The 18136-nt window shown below is 36.8% G+C and overlaps 1 protein-coding gene across 13 annotated transcripts in view; it reads left to right on the forward strand.

The window, feature by feature from the left end:
• DZIP3 (DAZ interacting zinc finger protein 3) overlaps positions 1-18136 on the forward strand; it is a 105331-nt gene that overhangs the window by 20026 nt on the left and 67169 nt on the right. For all 13 annotated transcript variants that reach the window (XM_005247917.4, XM_005247914.5, XM_047449256.1 and 10 more), the window contains 4 exons: positions 1639-1794; positions 7006-7122; positions 14909-14989; positions 16310-16434. In XM_005247917.4, the coding sequence (XP_005247974.1) occupies positions 1639-1794; positions 7006-7122; positions 14909-14989; positions 16310-16434 (479 nt within the window). The remainder of the gene's footprint in view (positions 1-1638; positions 1795-7005; positions 7123-14908; positions 14990-16309; positions 16435-18136) is intronic.

Below are 18136 nucleotides of genomic sequence, written 5' to 3' on the forward strand. Positions count from 1 at the left end.
AACTTAAATTAAAAGTGTGGACCAGGCATGGTGGCTCATGCCTGTAATCCCAGCACTTTGGGAGGCTAATGTGGGCGGATTGATTGCTTAAGCTCAAGAGTTTGAGACCAGCCTTTACAATATGGCAAAACATTGTCTCTGCTAAAAATACCAAAATTAGCTGGGTGTGGTGGTGCATGCCTGTATTTCCAGCTACTTGAGGGGCTAAGGTGGGAGAATCACTTGTGCTTGGGAGGTCAAGGCTGCAGTGAGCCGTGTTCATGCCACTGCACTCCAGCCTAGGTGACAAAGCAAGACGCTGTAGGCATGACACTTACAATATTTCCTGTTGAAAAATTTTTATTCATGCTATAATCTTGCCCATGTATAAATTTGTTAATTAGTATCCGATGATTCTACAAGTACTTTTGAGTAGAATTGACCTTTAGTTTGAATTATATGCACTACTGATATTGGTCATTCTTTATAAGGGGTTTTTCTAGTTACTTTGTAGAATTTTGTTTTAACTTTTTGAAAAATTTCAAACCTTTAGAAAGATTGCAAGATAGTAAAATGAATAGTAGTACAATGAACATCCTTCATAGAGAGTTAGTAAACGGTTAACATTTTTCTACATAAATAATCTTATGAAATGCTATAAAATCTAAGGTATATTTGTGGAATATAGATGGGGATGGAGGAATCTTAATTTAGTACTCAAACCCATTTTTTACAATGATAACCTCCTACAAGTGGATACCGAATACCATGGTTATTTTATGTTTATATATTTTCCCCTCCTAAGTTACTGGATAATCTCTGCAAACTCTTTTCCTTGTGGCAATGACCTAGGGGAGAGAAGGGCAAAACACCATAGTTGAGATTAGACAGATAGTCCTGCAATGGACTTTATTGGTTTCTACTTACTTTCCTGTGTAGCTCCAGGTCTGTTAGAGAACTGAAAGTGAGTTAGCCCATACAAGGGCATTTCAGCATCTCAAGCTCTATGGGGCTTCTGCAATAAGAAGTTCTTATTTTCAGAGATCAACAGCAACATAATCATATTCCTAGAATTCCCACAGAGTATAAGAACTCTGGTTTCTTGTTAAGGTTTGAAGGAAGGCCATCATCCATCTGTTCTAGGCCATTTATCCATCTCTGTTGTCCACTAGTTCTTCACAACTAATGTTAGTAGATATTCCAGCAGGACTTGATTGTGTAGTTATCAGTTAACAATTACTGTGCCTTATTAATTCTGTAAGAATAAATTCCTGAAGATTATTACTATTTATACAGCTCTGACTGAATTGAGATGTTGAGTCATTCTACTTTACTACTTTGTTTACAATTTGAACTATTAACAACTATTCATTTTCAAGTTGCTGTGTGTTTAATAGCTGACGCATCAGTCATATAATGTAAAAAGCACATTTAGATATAATTTTCATGTTACAGAGAATAATATATGTAATATTTTAAGTTCCTAGAGAGCAGAGAACATATTATTCTTCCTTAGATTTTTTATAATTCTGTCATAGAAGCTAGGAGAACAAGGGAAAATGAGCTTTGTTCCTTTTTTAATGCTTTGGCTGATCTTAGAATTAAGAGTGAATGAGAATATGCAAACTGTGTAAATTTTTAATCAATAATGTCTTCTAGAACAAACAGGAAAATGACATACCTACTGATCTTGTCCCTGTTAACCTACTATTAGAAGTGAAGAAGTTATTAAATGCAATTAATACTCTACCAAAAGGTGTGGTTCCTCACATTAAGAAGTTCTTACAAGAAGATTTTTCCTTCCAAACTATGCAGGTAACGTCATAAGTTGTTATTTGGGGCAGAAGTGCAGCTGTCTGTATATGACTTTTTTAATTAAAATTCTTTTTAAACCACACAGTATAGCCAAGGTCTTGAAAAAAATCTCCATCTTACTTCTTGTAAAGGGCTTTGTTGTCAACCTTGACTGTAGACTTCTAAAAAGTTGAACAAATAGAGTCATTTGGTGCTAGCCTTTTAAGAATAATGGTAGGAATGTGGGTTGGTAGCTTGTAAGCTGTTGACTACAAGGTCTAGTGTTTATTCCAGTCCTGCTAATAACCTGTAACATGCCAGTCTGGGACAGGGGACTGCTTTTGTTCTCCTAACTCATAAAATGTTAACACATTTGGCCAGGCACAGTGGCTCACGTCTCTAATCCTAGCACTTTGGGAGACCGAGGTGAGTGGATCACTGAGGTCAGGAGTTTGAGACCAGCCTGGCCAACATGGTGAAACTTGGTCTCTACTAAAAATACAAAAATTAGCTGGGCATGGTGGCACATGCCTGTGGTCCCAGCTACTTGGGAGGCTGAGGCAGGAGAATCGGTTGAACTCAGGAGGTGGAGGTACAGTGAGCCGAGATCATGCCACTGCACTCCTGCCTGGGAGACAGAGCAACACTCTGTCTCAAAAAAAAAAAAAGTTGACACATTTGTCAAAAATGCATTTTTAAAAATCATATCCAAATATTTGGAATTATTTGTATAATAAATATTCTGGAAGCTATATTGTAGATTTCCATCTTGAAAGTAGTTTTTCTGTATAATTTGTGGTAACTTTCAGCATAAGAAAGATACCATTTCTTAATGGAGTTTTCTGAAGTTAAAGAAAATTATATACTCTTTTCTTTGTGGCAATTAACTAGAGAAGAGAAGGGTAAAGCACCATAGTTGTCTTGAGAAGGCTACATTTGTCTTTCTATGAAAGAATATATGGTTATTTCCATGAAACACATTAATACTATTATGATTAAAAATTCCAACAAACTGAAGATATTCATAAGACTTTATGCACAATTATAACCTTAACCGAGATAATTTACCACAGTATAAGTGAATTCTGGCTAGAAATTGATAGAATAATGCTACCATTTCCCTCTTATCTTTTGGAAATCACTTAGAAACAACAAGACAGAAATCAGTGGCCTTCAGATATGCAAAAAATAGCAACTAGAAGGTAAAAATAGAAGAATAGTACAGTCATCTTTTGGTATCTGTGGGAGGTTAATTCCAGGACACCCCCGGTACAAAAATCCAAGGATGCCCAAGTCTCTTATGTAAAATGACATAGTATTTGCATACAACCTGTACACATTCTCCCGTATGTGTTACACCATCTCTAGATTACATCTAGGTATTACATATCTAATACAATGTAAATGCTATGTAAATAGTTGTTATACTGTATTGTCTTTTCAATTTTTTAAAATTATTGTATTCTTTCTATTTATTTATTTATTTATCAAATATTTTCAATCCATGGTGGGTTGAATCCATGGAGGCAAAACCTGTGGATATGGAGGGCAAACTGTACTTATTTATAATGATAACAAAAGTAAAATACTGAGTAAAATACTTAAGAAATGTACAAGATAAACTAGTATTTCTTTAAGCTTGTTCTAAACCACTTACATGAGAATATCTGACCCCTGTACCAGTTCTAAAGAATCAAAATCTCTGGGGATAGGTCTTTGAATTTGTGTTTTAGTAAGTACCTAAGCACTGATTGTACTCACATTAAATTTAGAAATCAATACTGCATATTAAAACAATAAGTAAAACTTTCTAAAACTCTATTAAAGGTAAGAAATGAGGACCTGAATGGAATAGTACATGTAGGAAGACGCAGTATGTTAAAGCAGTCAATTTTCTATAAATTAAAATCCACAAATATCGCATGATTCCACTAAAATAATGGGATTTTTTTGGTTAGTGTCGCTAAATGCTAAGTCTAAAGTTCACATGGGAAATAAGAGGAAAAATAGCCAAGAAAATTATTTAAGAAAAGTATGAAGGAGTAGGGCTGGGAATTTGCCCACTTAAACATTAAAAGTTGTTATGAAGCTCTAATAACTAAAAGATTGTGTTACTTGTTCTTTATACCTCAGACATATCTAGAAAATAGAAGATAAGTTCCAGAAGTAGGACCAAATATATACAGAACCTTTATGAATGATAAGATGATAAAAATAGATAATACTAAAGGAAAAAGACAAATCAATCCCAGTGGGATATTTTAACATACTTCTCTTATAACTGATATAACATGGACACAGAATTAGTAGACCTACAGCAGACTTGCTCTAATTGAGACACACATGTATAAACACTGCACCCAACAGTGGCAGATTATGCATTCTTTTAAGTGCACACAGAACATTTACAAAAATTGGCCATATGCTAGGTCACAAAGCAAGCCCCATCAGATTTCAGAGTATCAAAATATACAGAGTATGTTCTCTAACTACTCTTCAGTTAATCTAGAAATCAATAAAAGAGATAATCTAGAAAACCGTATGTTCATAAGGTAAGATATATACCTCTAATCTAGGTAACCAATTGGCCAAAGAAGAAATCACAATAGAAGTTAGATACATTTTTGAACTGAATAAAAATATATATCAAATCTTGTGTTATTAGATAAAGCTGTGCTTCAAGGAGAATTTATAGCTTGAGATGTAAATATTAGAAAAAGAAGCAAGGTTGAATATCAGTTATCTAAGCATGACATTCAAGAAGTTAATGGAAGAACAGCAAATTAAAAGCACTTGAAAAGGAAGTAATAAGGATAGTTAAAACTAATGAAATCTATTTAAAACATAAAATAGAAAGGATCAATAAATCCAAAACTTGCTTTTTTGGAAAGACCAATCAAATTGACAAATGCGTAATAAGTATGTCCAAAACCGAAAGCAAAAATATCCAAAATCATGAATGAACATGAAAACATAAATACAAATACTGTAGTCATTGAAGATAATAGAGATAATTCTGCTACTTGGAGTAGCTACCTGGTTTGTCTCATAGCAACCTGCCTCTGTGAAGAACTTGAAAAACTGGACACATTTTTTTCTAGTAATTCTTATTTTTGCTTTTCTAGTAAATTATTTAATTCAACCTGGGATAGAAATGATTCCAACCTTTACTTAGTTCTTTTGAGGAAGGGTCAGTTTCTCTACCTTTTGTAGCAGATTCTGTCATTGCCCCCCCATACCAATTGGACCCTACCTATATTTTCAGTATGCTCTGGACAATTCTAGTTTTCCATGTCTATATCTCTATGCCTCAGGGCCTTTTTTTCTAGAACAGGAGAAAGCTACTTCTCATGGCAGCTCAGAAGACCCAAGGAATTAATATTCCCCCATCACCCCAGAAAGCACTCAATCAGTAGGTCTTGGGAGTTATTATATGAATATCCCAGTTGCCTCTTCCCTTGAGTTGGTTAATACTGAGGTTTGTATTTTTGAGTTTTCCAAAATTTCCCCGTTGTGATAACCGCAGTGGCCCACCATGGGTAACTAGCATAATAACACATCCTTTAATTAAAACCTACTTTTCCTTCACTTTATTACTTCTCCACTTTCCTACCATTGTCTCTGTACCTCCCAAATAAACTATTTCCATTGAAATCCTTTAATTATGGTCTGCTTCCATTGGAACAAAAACAGGGCCTCAATGAAAAGAATGGGCTGTTTACCAGGGCTGCTCCTCCTTATAGACCATGCACTCCAATTTTCCCCCAAGCCTTGCAAATCTGCTGAAGGCTGTGCCACAACTGAATATGGCAATTACTTTAATGAGAAAAGTAGCTCCAAAAGTCAGTCAAAAGTCAGCTCTCCAGAGATTGCCTTTCAGAGGTTTTTATTTTCATTGTGTTAGTAGTTTTCCATTGCTTTCAGATAATTAGTTTTTATATCTTGTCCCGTTGTTTTAGTTATTCTCATTGGGAGACTGATTTGAAACCACCTAGGCTGTTTGACAGAGGTGGAACTTCAGTATTATGTTTTGTATTTCTATTCAAATTCAAGAGATATTGTTTGAGCTTGGAATGTAGGTGAAGTTCTTGGCTAGAAATGTAAATTTGGAAACTGTCAGTATGTAGACACTATTTAAAATTATGATACTGGGTTACTTTACCTAGAGAACATGTATTGATAGAGAAGAGGCTCATTAAATTGATTGCTAGGGAGACTGAAATAAAGTATCTAGTCAGCTAGGAAAAAAACAGGAAAATGTTATATATGGAAACCAAGTTATGGAAGTGTAGATTAAATTTTCCATGCAGATTATACATTATTAAACAGATTATGTAATATAAACCAAGCCGTTGTGGGTAGAAAACATTGGGGAATGGACACAAAGACATAGTCCTACCTTTCATTTCAACCATGTAAATAAACTATAGTACATAATAAAGCATGCATTAGCTCAGTTGCAATCAGATTGCAGCATAAAATGGTTTACCCTTGTATTGGTATTAATGCCAGCATTCCTGTTTACCACAGGTTCAGGGCTGGAATATTTTAGCTATGTCACACAATAGAAGGTATGAGAGTGAACTGGGATTACCATTTTCCTCTGAAGTAGGTGTGGATGTTGCCAACCCTTTGGCAGGTATAGGAATGCCTTTTTAAAAAATGTTTTAAAGAGGCTGGGCGCAGTGGCTCACGCCTGTAATCCCAGCACTTTAGGAGGCCAAGGCAGGCGGATCACGAGGTCAGGAGACCAAGACCATCCTAGCTAAAATGGTGAAACCCCATCTCTACTAAAAATACAAAAAATTAGCCAGGTGTGGTGGTGGGTGTCTGTAGTCCCAGATACTCAGGAGGCTGAGGCAGGAGAATGGTGTGAACACGGGAGGCGGAGCTTGCAGTGAGCTGAGATTGCGCCAGTGAACTCCAGCCAGGGCGACAGAGCGAGACTCCATCTCAAAAATAAATAAATAAATAAATAAATAAATAAATAAATAAATAAAATAAAATTTAAAATTGTTTTAAGGAAATAGTTACAAACGACATTCATCGGACTACTTAAAAGCAAACATATGAGAACAGTGTATCTGGTTGGTATGGATTTTTTTTTTTTAAACCGTCTTTATCTCTATTTTTAAAATTTTCTCCAATGAGCATGAATTATTTGTATAATGTAAACATATGTAGATGTTTGTTCAGACTTATAGACATTTTTAACTGAATAATTTTCCACAGAGAGAAGTTGCAGCTAACAGCCAGAATGGTGAGGAAATTGTTCCTGCTTTGACTTTACGTTTCTTGATTACACAGCTAGAAGCAGCACTTAGGAACATTCAAGCTGGCAATTATACCGTAAGTGTTTTCTTTTTGGAAATTTGATATAATGGACTTGGTCAACATTTCTCAGTGAGAAAACAGCCAATGCATGCTTATTTTAAGGTGTGGGCCAATTTTTATTTTTTTCTTTTACCTCTAGAAAAGGGTATGTATAAATTGATTGCCTTCCTGTGTCTTGTACTTTCTTATATGACTGGTAGATGACTTATGTATGTCTTGTACTTTCTCATGTGACTGGCTCTGTAATAAGCCTATTCTAGTCTCCTTCCCTACCACAAAATTGTTCATCTTAAGAGAAACTTGAACTAATAGAAATGGGCTTTCCCAATCAGAAATGGAGAATCATAAAGTTAAAAAAAATAAGCCAAGTATAGAAGGACAAATACTGCATGATGTCATTTGAATGTGGAATCTAGGAGCTGAACTCACAGAAGCAGAGAGTACGATGGTGGCTAGGGGTAAGGGGTCAGGAGTACAGACTGAAGAGATGTTGGTCAAAAGATACAAAATTTCAGTTAGATGTGAAGAATAAGTTCAAGAGATCTATTGTACAACATAGTGACTATAGTTAATAACAATGTATTATAATCCTGAAAATTGCCTAGAGTAGATTTTAAGTATTTTCACCACAAAAATGATAAATATGTGAGGTTATACATATGTTAATTAGCTTGAGTTAGTCATTTCACAATGTATACATATTTTATAATGTCGTATATGATAAATATATACAATTTTTATTTATCAATTTAAAAAAGAAAAAATATTCTGTCTTTTTAAACCATAATTAATCAGCTTCTCTTTCTTCTGAGATTTCTATATTTGTAAAAGTTGGAATTTCTCTTATAGGTAAAATTAACAAAATGTATTTATGTGTTTAAGATCAAATGATACTTTAGAAATAAATAGGGTTATCTTCAAAAAAGGACTACCCAGACACCAAAAAAGGGAGCCTAAGACATTAAATCTCATATTATAATGATGTACAAAGAGACGGAAAAATAATACTTATTTAGGATTCTGGGGATTAGGGTTCTTACAGGGTGAGTTACACCATTCAGAAGGAGATTCTAGTTGGATTCCAATGAGGAAACAAAGAAAATGGGGGATTTGCATCTTGTAATCCTGAGAACTTGGGGGATATGGCAGACCTGCTATTTCTCCCACTGACCAGATTGCCAGTCAGTGAAACAAATCAATGTGAAATCAGCCTTAACAGGTACCCATTGCTTAGCCTTCTTTACTTAGACATTACTTCAAAGATGAGTCTTAGACTAGGAAATGGAAGAGTTTCTCCCTTGGTAGCTCTAGGTAGTACTTGTGAGCAGAAGTGGCATTGTGATGATCAAAGCAGTCTATTGCTGTATCTAAATTACTCTATCTGTCCTTCAAGGCCACCAAAAAGGGAAAAGACAACCTTGTAGGAGACAACAGTGGATTATGTATTATGGGGGTGCAGTTGCGAATAGCATCTCTATATTAATTTTATTCTAGTTCTTGGAATAATCTTTGCTGATGGGGAGAAGGTAGGAGAAAAGGACAGGGGCTTTAGGTTAGAAATGTACAACTTGCATCTTTAAATTCCAGAGTTTTTCCTCCTCTAATTATAGCATTACCACAATTCTGCATCTTATCTTGTTCTTAGAAATGTTTTATTTAGAATTATATTAGCTAGTCTCTGTTATGTTATTCATGAAGCTGTTTTCTTTTAATTACAAAATAATAGCTCACACTTCTTTAGTGTTTGCTGTATGACAGCCACTATTCTAAGCGCTTTGTAAAAATTAGCCCTTTTACTGTTCATAAGTACCCCATCTTAGGGCACAGAGGTTAAATAACTTGCTAACTTGACCAGGTAGTAAGTAGTGGAGTCAGGTGGCTCTAGATTCTATGGTCTGAACTACTGCCTCTTCAGGGATGAGAATTTTAAGGTGGGAACCACTTAGATGTTATGAGGAGTTTATATTTAATAGACTCACTTAGTCCATCAAGAACAAACACACGTCTATCTCCACTGAGATCAGTTTGAAGCCAAATTTATAATCCCAGTCAGTTATCTCCTCAATGAATACTGTTGGTCATTAGAAGCATGCAAGGTGAGAGTATACAGTTAGATCAGTATAAACAGAAAGCTTATGGGCCGGGCGCGGTGGCTCACATCTGTAATCCCAGCACTTTGGGAGGCCGAGGCGGGCAGATCACGAGGTCAGGAGTTCGAGACCAGCCTGACCAACATGGTGAAACCCCGTGTGTACCAAAAATATAAAAATTAGCCAGGTGTGGTGGCATGCGCCTGTAATCCCAACTACTCAGGAGGCTGAGGCAGGAGAATCAATTGAACCCAGGAGGCAGAGGTTGCAGGGAGCCAAGATTATGCCACTGCACTCCAGCCTAGGTGACAGATTGAGACTCCATCTCAAAAAAAAAAAAAAAAAAAAAAAAAAGAAAGCTTATATCCTATGGGTATTTATCATTCTATGTACCTAGAAAAATCTTGTTTATGGTATGGGGAAATCTTGATGAAAAAGGGTAATGTGACAAAAGATAGGGTTATAATCTTCAGTCAATATAGAGCTTATGAGCAGAGGAGTCCAGGGTTCTCCAGAGAAACCAGACTGGTTTTTGCTGTGTGTGTGTATGTGTGTGGGTATATGTGTGTATGTGTGTGTGTGTGTGTGTGTGTTTTGTTTTATATACATAAAACATACAAATACTTATATACACATATACATATACATGATTATAAGGAATGTATATGTGATTTATTATGAGGAATTGCCTCATGTCATTATAGAGGCTCAGCAAGTCCCATGATCTGCTCTCTGTAATCTGGAGACCCAGGAACGCTTGTGATATAACTCATCCCAGTTCTGAAGGCTAAGAACCAGGTATAAATCCAAGGATGAAGGCAGAAGTTGAGATGAGATGTCCAAGCTCCAGCAAGCAGGCCGGAAGCAAAAAGGGATGAATTCTTCCTTCCTCTACTTTTTGTTCTATGCAGGCTTTAATGGATTGGATGATGCCCACCTACATTGGAGAGGGCAACCTGTTATACCCAGTCTACCATTTCAAAGGCAAATTTCATCTGGAAACACGCTCAGAGACACACCCAGAAACAATATTTAATCTGGGCACCCTGTGGCCAGTCAAGTTGACACATGAACTTAACCATCACAAATACAATGGACAGGGAGGTCTTGGTGTACCCCTCACACAGTTTCCCTAAATAGTTACATAATTACATTACTCCAGAACATATTAAAAAAAAAAAAACAGGAAATTGATGTTGGTCCATGGGGCTTTGTGTCTGGGTTCTCCAAGACCACCCTCATGTTCAGAGATTTGCTAGAAGGACTGGACTCAGCATATGGTTATACTAACATCTAAGATTTATTATGGTGATGTGATAAGGATACATAGTAGATCATATGGGGAAAAGACACAGGTGAAGTCTGACGAAAGCCATCTGCAGGTTCCTCCATATTTTCTCCCTTCCATGAGAAGCTACACAGCATATACGGCCACCTCCAGCAATGAAAATGTAGCAACATCCACAGTGTTTCTGCCCAGGGAAGCCTATAAGAGACTCAGTGATCAATATTTTTATTGGGCGTTGGTCATCTAGGTACCTGCTGCCTGGCATGTATCAAAATTCCACACTTCCAGAAGAAAATCCCAGGTGCTCAGCATAAATCATAGTGTTTGCACAAATAGTCTAGACATAGCAAGGCACCTTTATCAGTTAGGGAACACTGCCAAAATTCAAGTTCCCAGACATCAGCCAAAGATCAACTTTGCAAGCAGGACTTAATAAGGATAACAGCCTCAGGCCAGCTAGGTTAGCTTTTTAATGCCCAGGCTTGTATAGTTCTGTGCCATTTTATCAAATGTGTACATTTATGTAACTACTGCAATCAAGATAAAAGAACTATTCCACCACCACAAAAATCTCTCTTATGACTTTTATGGTCACACCCACCTCTCTCCCTCTACAATTCACTGATCCCTAATCTATCTCATCTCAGTAATTTTGCATAGACCATTTTTATACGAAGGAAATATCCACATGGTTTAATTTTTCATTGAAGAAGTGATGAGCTTTATGTTCATACTATTTTGCAGAATCCATGTGGGAGAGTAAAGGATTTTGATTTAAAAGATCATTGTTTTTGTTTTGTTTTGTTTTGTTTTTGTTTTGAGATGGAGTCTCACTCTGTCACCCAGGCTGGAATGCAGTGGCACGATCTCGGCTCACTGCAACCTCCACCTCCTGGGTTCAAGTGATTCTTCTGCCTCAGCCTCCCGAGTAGCTGGGACTACAGGCGCGTGCCACCACGCCTGGCTAATTTTTTGTATTTTTAGTAGAGACAGGGTTTCACCATGTTGGCCAGGATGGTCTCGATGTCCTGACCTTGTAATCTGCCTGCCTCGGCCTCCCAAAGTGTTGGGATTACAGGCATGAGCCACTGCACCCAGCCAGATCATTGTATTTTTAAAGGTGGATGGTAGATACTTCAGTGTTCGTTATATTATTATTTAATGTGTTCTTGATACCTAAAATATTACATAATAAAAGAGACAGAGTGAATGAGAGTTTTTGAAAGGTTTAATGTAACAAATTTTTATACTTCTTTTTTACCAGTTTTTAAAAAATTTTATTTTTAATTTTTGTGGGTATATAGGTGTACATTTTATGGGGTATGTGAGATACTTTGATGCAGGCATACAATACATAATAATCACATCAGGGTAAATGGGCTATCCATCACCTCAAGCATTTATCCTTTGTATTACAACAATCCATTTATACTGTTTCTTATTTTAAAATGTACAATGAATTATTGTTGACTGTATACTCATTTCAACAGATGCTGAAAAAGTAGGGTTGGTATTTTTGTAGAGATGGTGTCTCACACTATTGCCCACTTAGGTTAAAATGGCTTATGTACAAAATACAGGCAATAACAAATGCTGGTGAGGATGTGGAGAAAAGAGAACCCTCTTACACTGTTGGTGGGAATGTAAATTAGTAAAACCACTATGGCAAGCAGTTTGGAGGTTCCTCAAAAAACTGAAAATAGATCTACCATAGGATCCAGCAATCCCACTGCTGGGATATACCCAAAAGAAAGAAAATCAGTGTATCAAAGAAATATTTGCATTCTCATGTTTATTGCAGCACTATTCACAATAGCCAAGATTTGAAAGCAACCTAAGTGTCCATCCAGATGAATAAATAACGAAAATATGGTACATATACACAGGGGAGTACTATTCAGCCATAAAAAAGCACAAGATTCCCCCCAGCACTTTGAGAGGCTGAGATGGGAGGATCACTTGAACTCAGGAGTTCAAGATCAGCCTGGGTAATAGTGTGAGACCCCATCTCTAAAAAAAAAAAAAATTAAAATAATGAGATCCTGTCACTTGAAACAACATGGATGGAACTGGAGGTCATTATGTGAAGTGAAATAAACCAGATAGAGAAAGACAAACTTTGCATGTTCTCACTCATTTTTGGGAGCCAAAAATTAAAACAAGTGAACTCAAAAAAATAGCTAGTAGAATGATGGTTACCAGAGGCTGGGAAGGGTAGGTGGGGGTTGGGGAGACAGTGGTGAATTCTTTAGCATGTCAATTGCTTTTTTAAGCTCCAGAATTTCTACTTGATTTTTAAAAATTATTCTCAATTTCTTTGTTCAATTTATCTGATAGGATTCTGAATTCCTTCTCTGTGTTATCTTGAATTTCATTGAACTTCCTCAAAACAGCTGTTTGGAAGTTTGTGTCTGAAAGGTCACATGTTTGTCTCTCTGGGATTGGCAACTGGTGCCTTTTTTGGTTTGGTAAAGTCATGTTTTCCTGGATGGTCTTGATGCTAATGGATGTCCATCGATGTCTGGGCATTGGAGAGTTAGGTATTCATTATAGGCTTCACTGTATGGCCTTGTTTTGTACCTGTCCTTCTTGGGAAGTCTTTCCAGGTATTCAAAGGGACTTGCATATTGTGATTTAAGTCCTTGGTCACTGCTGCTATATCTGCATTAGGGGACACTCTAAGCCCAGTAACCCTGTGTCTCTTGCAGATTCATAGAGGTACCATCTTGGTAGTCTTTGGTGAGATCTGGAAGAACTCCTTGGATTACCAGGCAGAGACTCTTGTTCTCTTCTTCCTTTACCCCAAACAAACAGAGTCTCTCTCTCTCTCTCTCTCTCTCTCTCTCTCTCTCTCTCTCTCTGTGTGTGTGTGTGTGTATGGAGCTGCCTGGAGCTGGGGGAGGGGTGACACAAGCATTCTTGTGGCCACGACCACTGAGACTCCTCTAGTTCAGATCCGAAGCCAGCCCAGTACTGGTTCTTGCTCAAACCCTATGGTGACGACTGCCTTGCTACCACCTATACTGAGTCTCTTCTTTCTGAGCAGTGCGTTTCTCTCTGGCCCAGGGCGAGTGCAGAAGTGCCAGACAGGACTTGAAGTCTGGAAGTGGGAACCCTGGAAGCCCACTTGGTGTTCTATCCCACTGTGGCTGAGCTGATACTCAAGCTGCAAGACAAAGTCCCCTTTACTTTTCCCTCTGCCTTTCTCAAGCAGAAAGGCATCTCTCACCATAGCCACCACAGCTGGGAATGTGTTGGGTCACATCTGAAGCCAGCATAGCTCTGAGTCTCACCCAAGGCCCATGGCGAGTACTGCTACTACTGTTGATTATTCAGGGCCCAAGGGCTCTTTAGTCAGCAGGTAATGAACCCCGCCAGGACTGGGTTCTTACCTTCAAGGCAGTGGATTCATTTCTGCCCCAGGATGTGTCTAGAAATATTGTCTTGGAGCTAGAGCCTCAGGATTCTACTGTGACTGAGCCGATATTCAAGTGGCAAGGCAAAATCGTCTTTACTCTTCTCTCTCCTCTGCTCAAGCAGAGGGAAGGTGTCTCTCCCAGACGTGTGAGTTGTTTTCCCTGGAGTTGGAGGGGTGACATAAGCACTCCCTTGCCTGCCCCATCTGGTATCTTACTAGGTTGTATACACCACAAATCCACTGGCTCCAAGCCCAGCACAGCACCAGGACATGGCCAGGAACTGCAGTCCTTGTGGCCTAGACTGCCTTTTATGTAGGACCCCAGAGCACTTTGGCCCACACTGGCAGGGCTTGCTGGAACTCAGGCTCTGACTGCTGGGATGGACAATTTACCTATGGCTAACACTTGTCTAAATGCTACCTCCGTGATCACTGACTGAGTTCTGCTCAGTATGGCTTTCTGATGTGACGGGGCAGCACTGAGTTCCAGTGCAAAGTCCTTCCCCCAAGCGCAGATTCTCTCTCCATGTCACATAGCTGTAGTCAGGGGATGGAGGAAGGGATGGTATAGGCAACTTAAGACTGTCTTTCCTACCCTCTTCAGTGCCTCTTTCCTTAATATGATGTTCAAACCAGGTAATGTGATCACTCACCTGATTTTTGTTTCTATGAAGGGGCTTTTCTATGGGGTATTTGTTCAGTGTGGTGTTCCTGTGTTGGTGACGATTGTTGGAGCTTCTATTTGGCCATCTTTCTTCCATATCCTTTCCTTTGATTAAATTTTAATGTTTTATTTTGAGATTATTGACTATCCTCTTTCTTCCTGGGTCAAATTATCAAATATATCTAAAATACATTATCGTTATTATTAGATGACTGATAATGTTTTGATAATTTTTACTTGTTTTAATAATTATTAATTAAGCTTAGGATATTTAATTAAGCTTGTTGTACTGAAAAGTAGCTTAGTCTAAATAACCAATTAACATATTTTTTTCTTTGTAGGCACACCAGATTAATATTGGTTATTATTTGACATTACTGTTTTTATATGGAGTAGCACTCACTGAAAGAGGAAAGAAAGAGGTATGTAACATGTTATTTGCCCTTTATAAATCTTTTTACATCTTGGAATAATCAGGCCAAAGATTATAATATGAAACTAAAAATATTAAAAAAGGAAACTTAATATTAGCTTATAACTTCATTTCTTTTATTTATCTTTTGAATGCTTACCATTCATGTAAAATAAAAAATTATTTAGCTTCTTTCACTTACATAATACATTTTAATCCATTTTCTAGTATAGCTTAATCCCTCTGGTTTTAATCGTATCCCTTTTGTAAAATATGAATTGTACCTCAAATTATTTGTCAAACTTAAGTGCAAATAAGTACAAATCTGGGAATTAACTAGATAATTTCTAAGGGTTCTGTTGAATTTAACATTTCCTTTTTTTTCTGATTTTTAATGATTTCTCATATTTTCTTCATAGCTTTGATATTTCTCTTATTTTTTCTTCCCAAATCTGTATTTCTGACTTCATAAATTAAATATATAAATATGACTTGTTAATTAGAATTAACAAGTGAAGTAGAATTGATAAGCAGCGAAACTGAAAACATTTCTATTTTAAATACTTTAATGTAGTACTAATTGTTTAGTGTGATGTACTAGGGAATATTTTAAAGTAAGGCCAGGCAGCATTTTTCCAGCTTTTTTTTTCTAGAGAGACTGAGGCCATTATGCCTTTTTCACTGAAGCATCTATTATAACAGATCCTGATATTTACTTCCAGACCTATGTTGTTTATGATTAAGGTGGTGATTCCCCAAAAGAGTTTATATCTATGGGCAACAAATCACTTACTTTCTATCTGAAATACTGTGAAGAATTGTGCTCCCATTAGGAAGAATGATAAAGAATTGTGCTCTAACAGTTATCAGAAAAGCCCTTATTTTGGCTAGTAGTACTTGCCAGTTAGATATGTATATGTATGTATTTAAAAGATGGCGTCTCACTATGTTGCCCAAGCTGGACTTAACTCCTGGGCTCAAGCAATCCTCCTGCTTCAGCCTGCTAAGGAGCTGACACTATCAGTGTGCACCACCATGCCTAATTGCCAGTTTTAGATACACAAATTTTTGTTACCATCTTAATATTCACTTTGAAATATTGGTTAAAGAAGGTCTTAAGTTTATTTATAAATAAATATTTTAAACACTGACTACATGATCTTTGTAATCACATGCAGAGATGCCAGGATTCAGAATGTGAATAAATGACCAGATGATTGTATTATTTTTAAAGCTGCCCTAATTTCTCCAGTTTGAGAAGTAATTGTTTATTGTAAAAAAAAAAAAAATGACTTTTACAGTAGCCAAACCTAGTTTTATGTTACTACAGGATTATACAGAAGCTGAGAATAAATTTCTGGTGATGAAGATGATGATCCAAGAAAATGAAATTTGTGAAAACTTTATGTCTTTAGTTTATTTTGGACGTGGTTTACTGCGATGTGCTCAAAAGAGGTAAGGATTTTAATTAACGGGTAGATGTTGCCTGTGAAGTCTCAGCATTGTGAAATGGAAGTAAGTGTGCACAGTATATCAGGCATTGTGACATTTGTGCTCTACTGTTTTATCCTTTTCTTCTTTGCCTATTTGTATAGATAATTTCTTTAATGTAGTTGAGAATATTAAATAGCAAACTTAACAGGCCATAGCAATAAGAAGCAGTCTAGCATTAACATTAGGAGCATAGGCTTTAGAGTCTGATAGACCCGGGTTCAGCTACATTTTTTATCACTTATGCTAAGAAACTTAATGTTGTTAAGCCTTATATTTTTTTCTTATCTCTAAAATAGAACTAATAATAGTGTAGGGTTCACTTCATGAGGATTTTGCAGGTGATTAACATTGCCTAGGACACAAAAATGCTGTACTTAATAAATAAATTATGGTTGGAGTTATTAGTATTATCACCACTAACTTGGAATAGTTTTTAAAAGTATAAAATGAGCTTATAAAGAGTTGAAAAGGGTCCAAATGCTGAGTTTTTGGAGTATTGGCTACTACTTTTAAGAAAGTGAAATTGTATGGAGGAAACTATACAGATTATCTGTTTACTTCCTATATGGAGATCCATAACCATTTGTAACATCATTCATTCATTTTATTTACTAAGTATCCATTATATTCCAGAAACTGTTAGGTGTTGAGGTTACAGTGGTTTACAAAATACAGTTCCTGTCTTCATGTAACTGAAAGTACAGTGAAAGATATAGATCTTAATCAACTAATCAGTCATAAAATATTTATGAGATAGGATAAAGAGTTATGAAGGAAACTAGAGTGAATAACTAAAGTGTTTCCTGGAGGCTGGTTCTGGGAATCAGAAGTCTCCCTGAGAAAACAATGTTTGACTAAGATCTGAGGGATGAATTTGGAAAAGTTTGCTTGGGCAAACTCTTATGAAGGATTACTGCTGGGCCAAACCACTGGATCCCTAAAAGTGTCACCTATGTGGTAGTTCCCTGATTCTTTGTAAGGTTGATATCCTATTCTCTGGCTTGCCTGTTTTTTTACTAGGGTATCCACAAGACATCTCACTTCTTGTTCACTGGGTCTGAGCAGCATGTGCCATCAATATAGTGGGGCTAGTGTGATGCTTTGTAGAATGTCAAAATGATCCAAATCCCTTCAGTCTATACTGTGACAAAGTAAGAGAATTAACATAGCCTGAGACAAGAACAAAGAATATATCCTGCTGTCCTTCCTCAGATGTGAAAACTGTTTTATTCTCTTTACTGATGAGCATTGGAGAGAATTCATTTTCCAGATCATTGACACTAGAAAGTCCAGTTGTATGGCAGTATCATTACTTTCATCCCTGGCCTATAGAGGACAACCACCACTGAGCTCCTCAAAGACACTGGTGCCCTTCTTACTCTGTAGTTCTTATTGTATTAATGAATGGGGTATCCTCTGAGCCTTTCTAGGAACACTGAATTAGTGGTGGGTTCTGTGTTTTTATGTAGTAAGTCAATTCTAACCTTCTCACTTCCTTGACTCCTTTAATATTCCTCAAGAAATTTTCAGCATTTCTTCTTAATTTACTATAGACCATTATTGTGTCCAAGTTTCAAGGAGTCTTCTCAGCACCATATTAGGACTGGATTCAGGTGTCCTTTCTAGGAAAGTAAATCTTGAATTACGGAAGAGTTTTTCCATA

The sequence above is a fragment of the Homo sapiens genome, chromosome 3 (genome assembly GCF_000001405.40).
Source record: "Homo sapiens chromosome 3, GRCh38.p14 Primary Assembly".
Classification (NCBI taxonomy): Eukaryota; Metazoa; Chordata; class Mammalia; order Primates; family Hominidae; genus Homo; species Homo sapiens.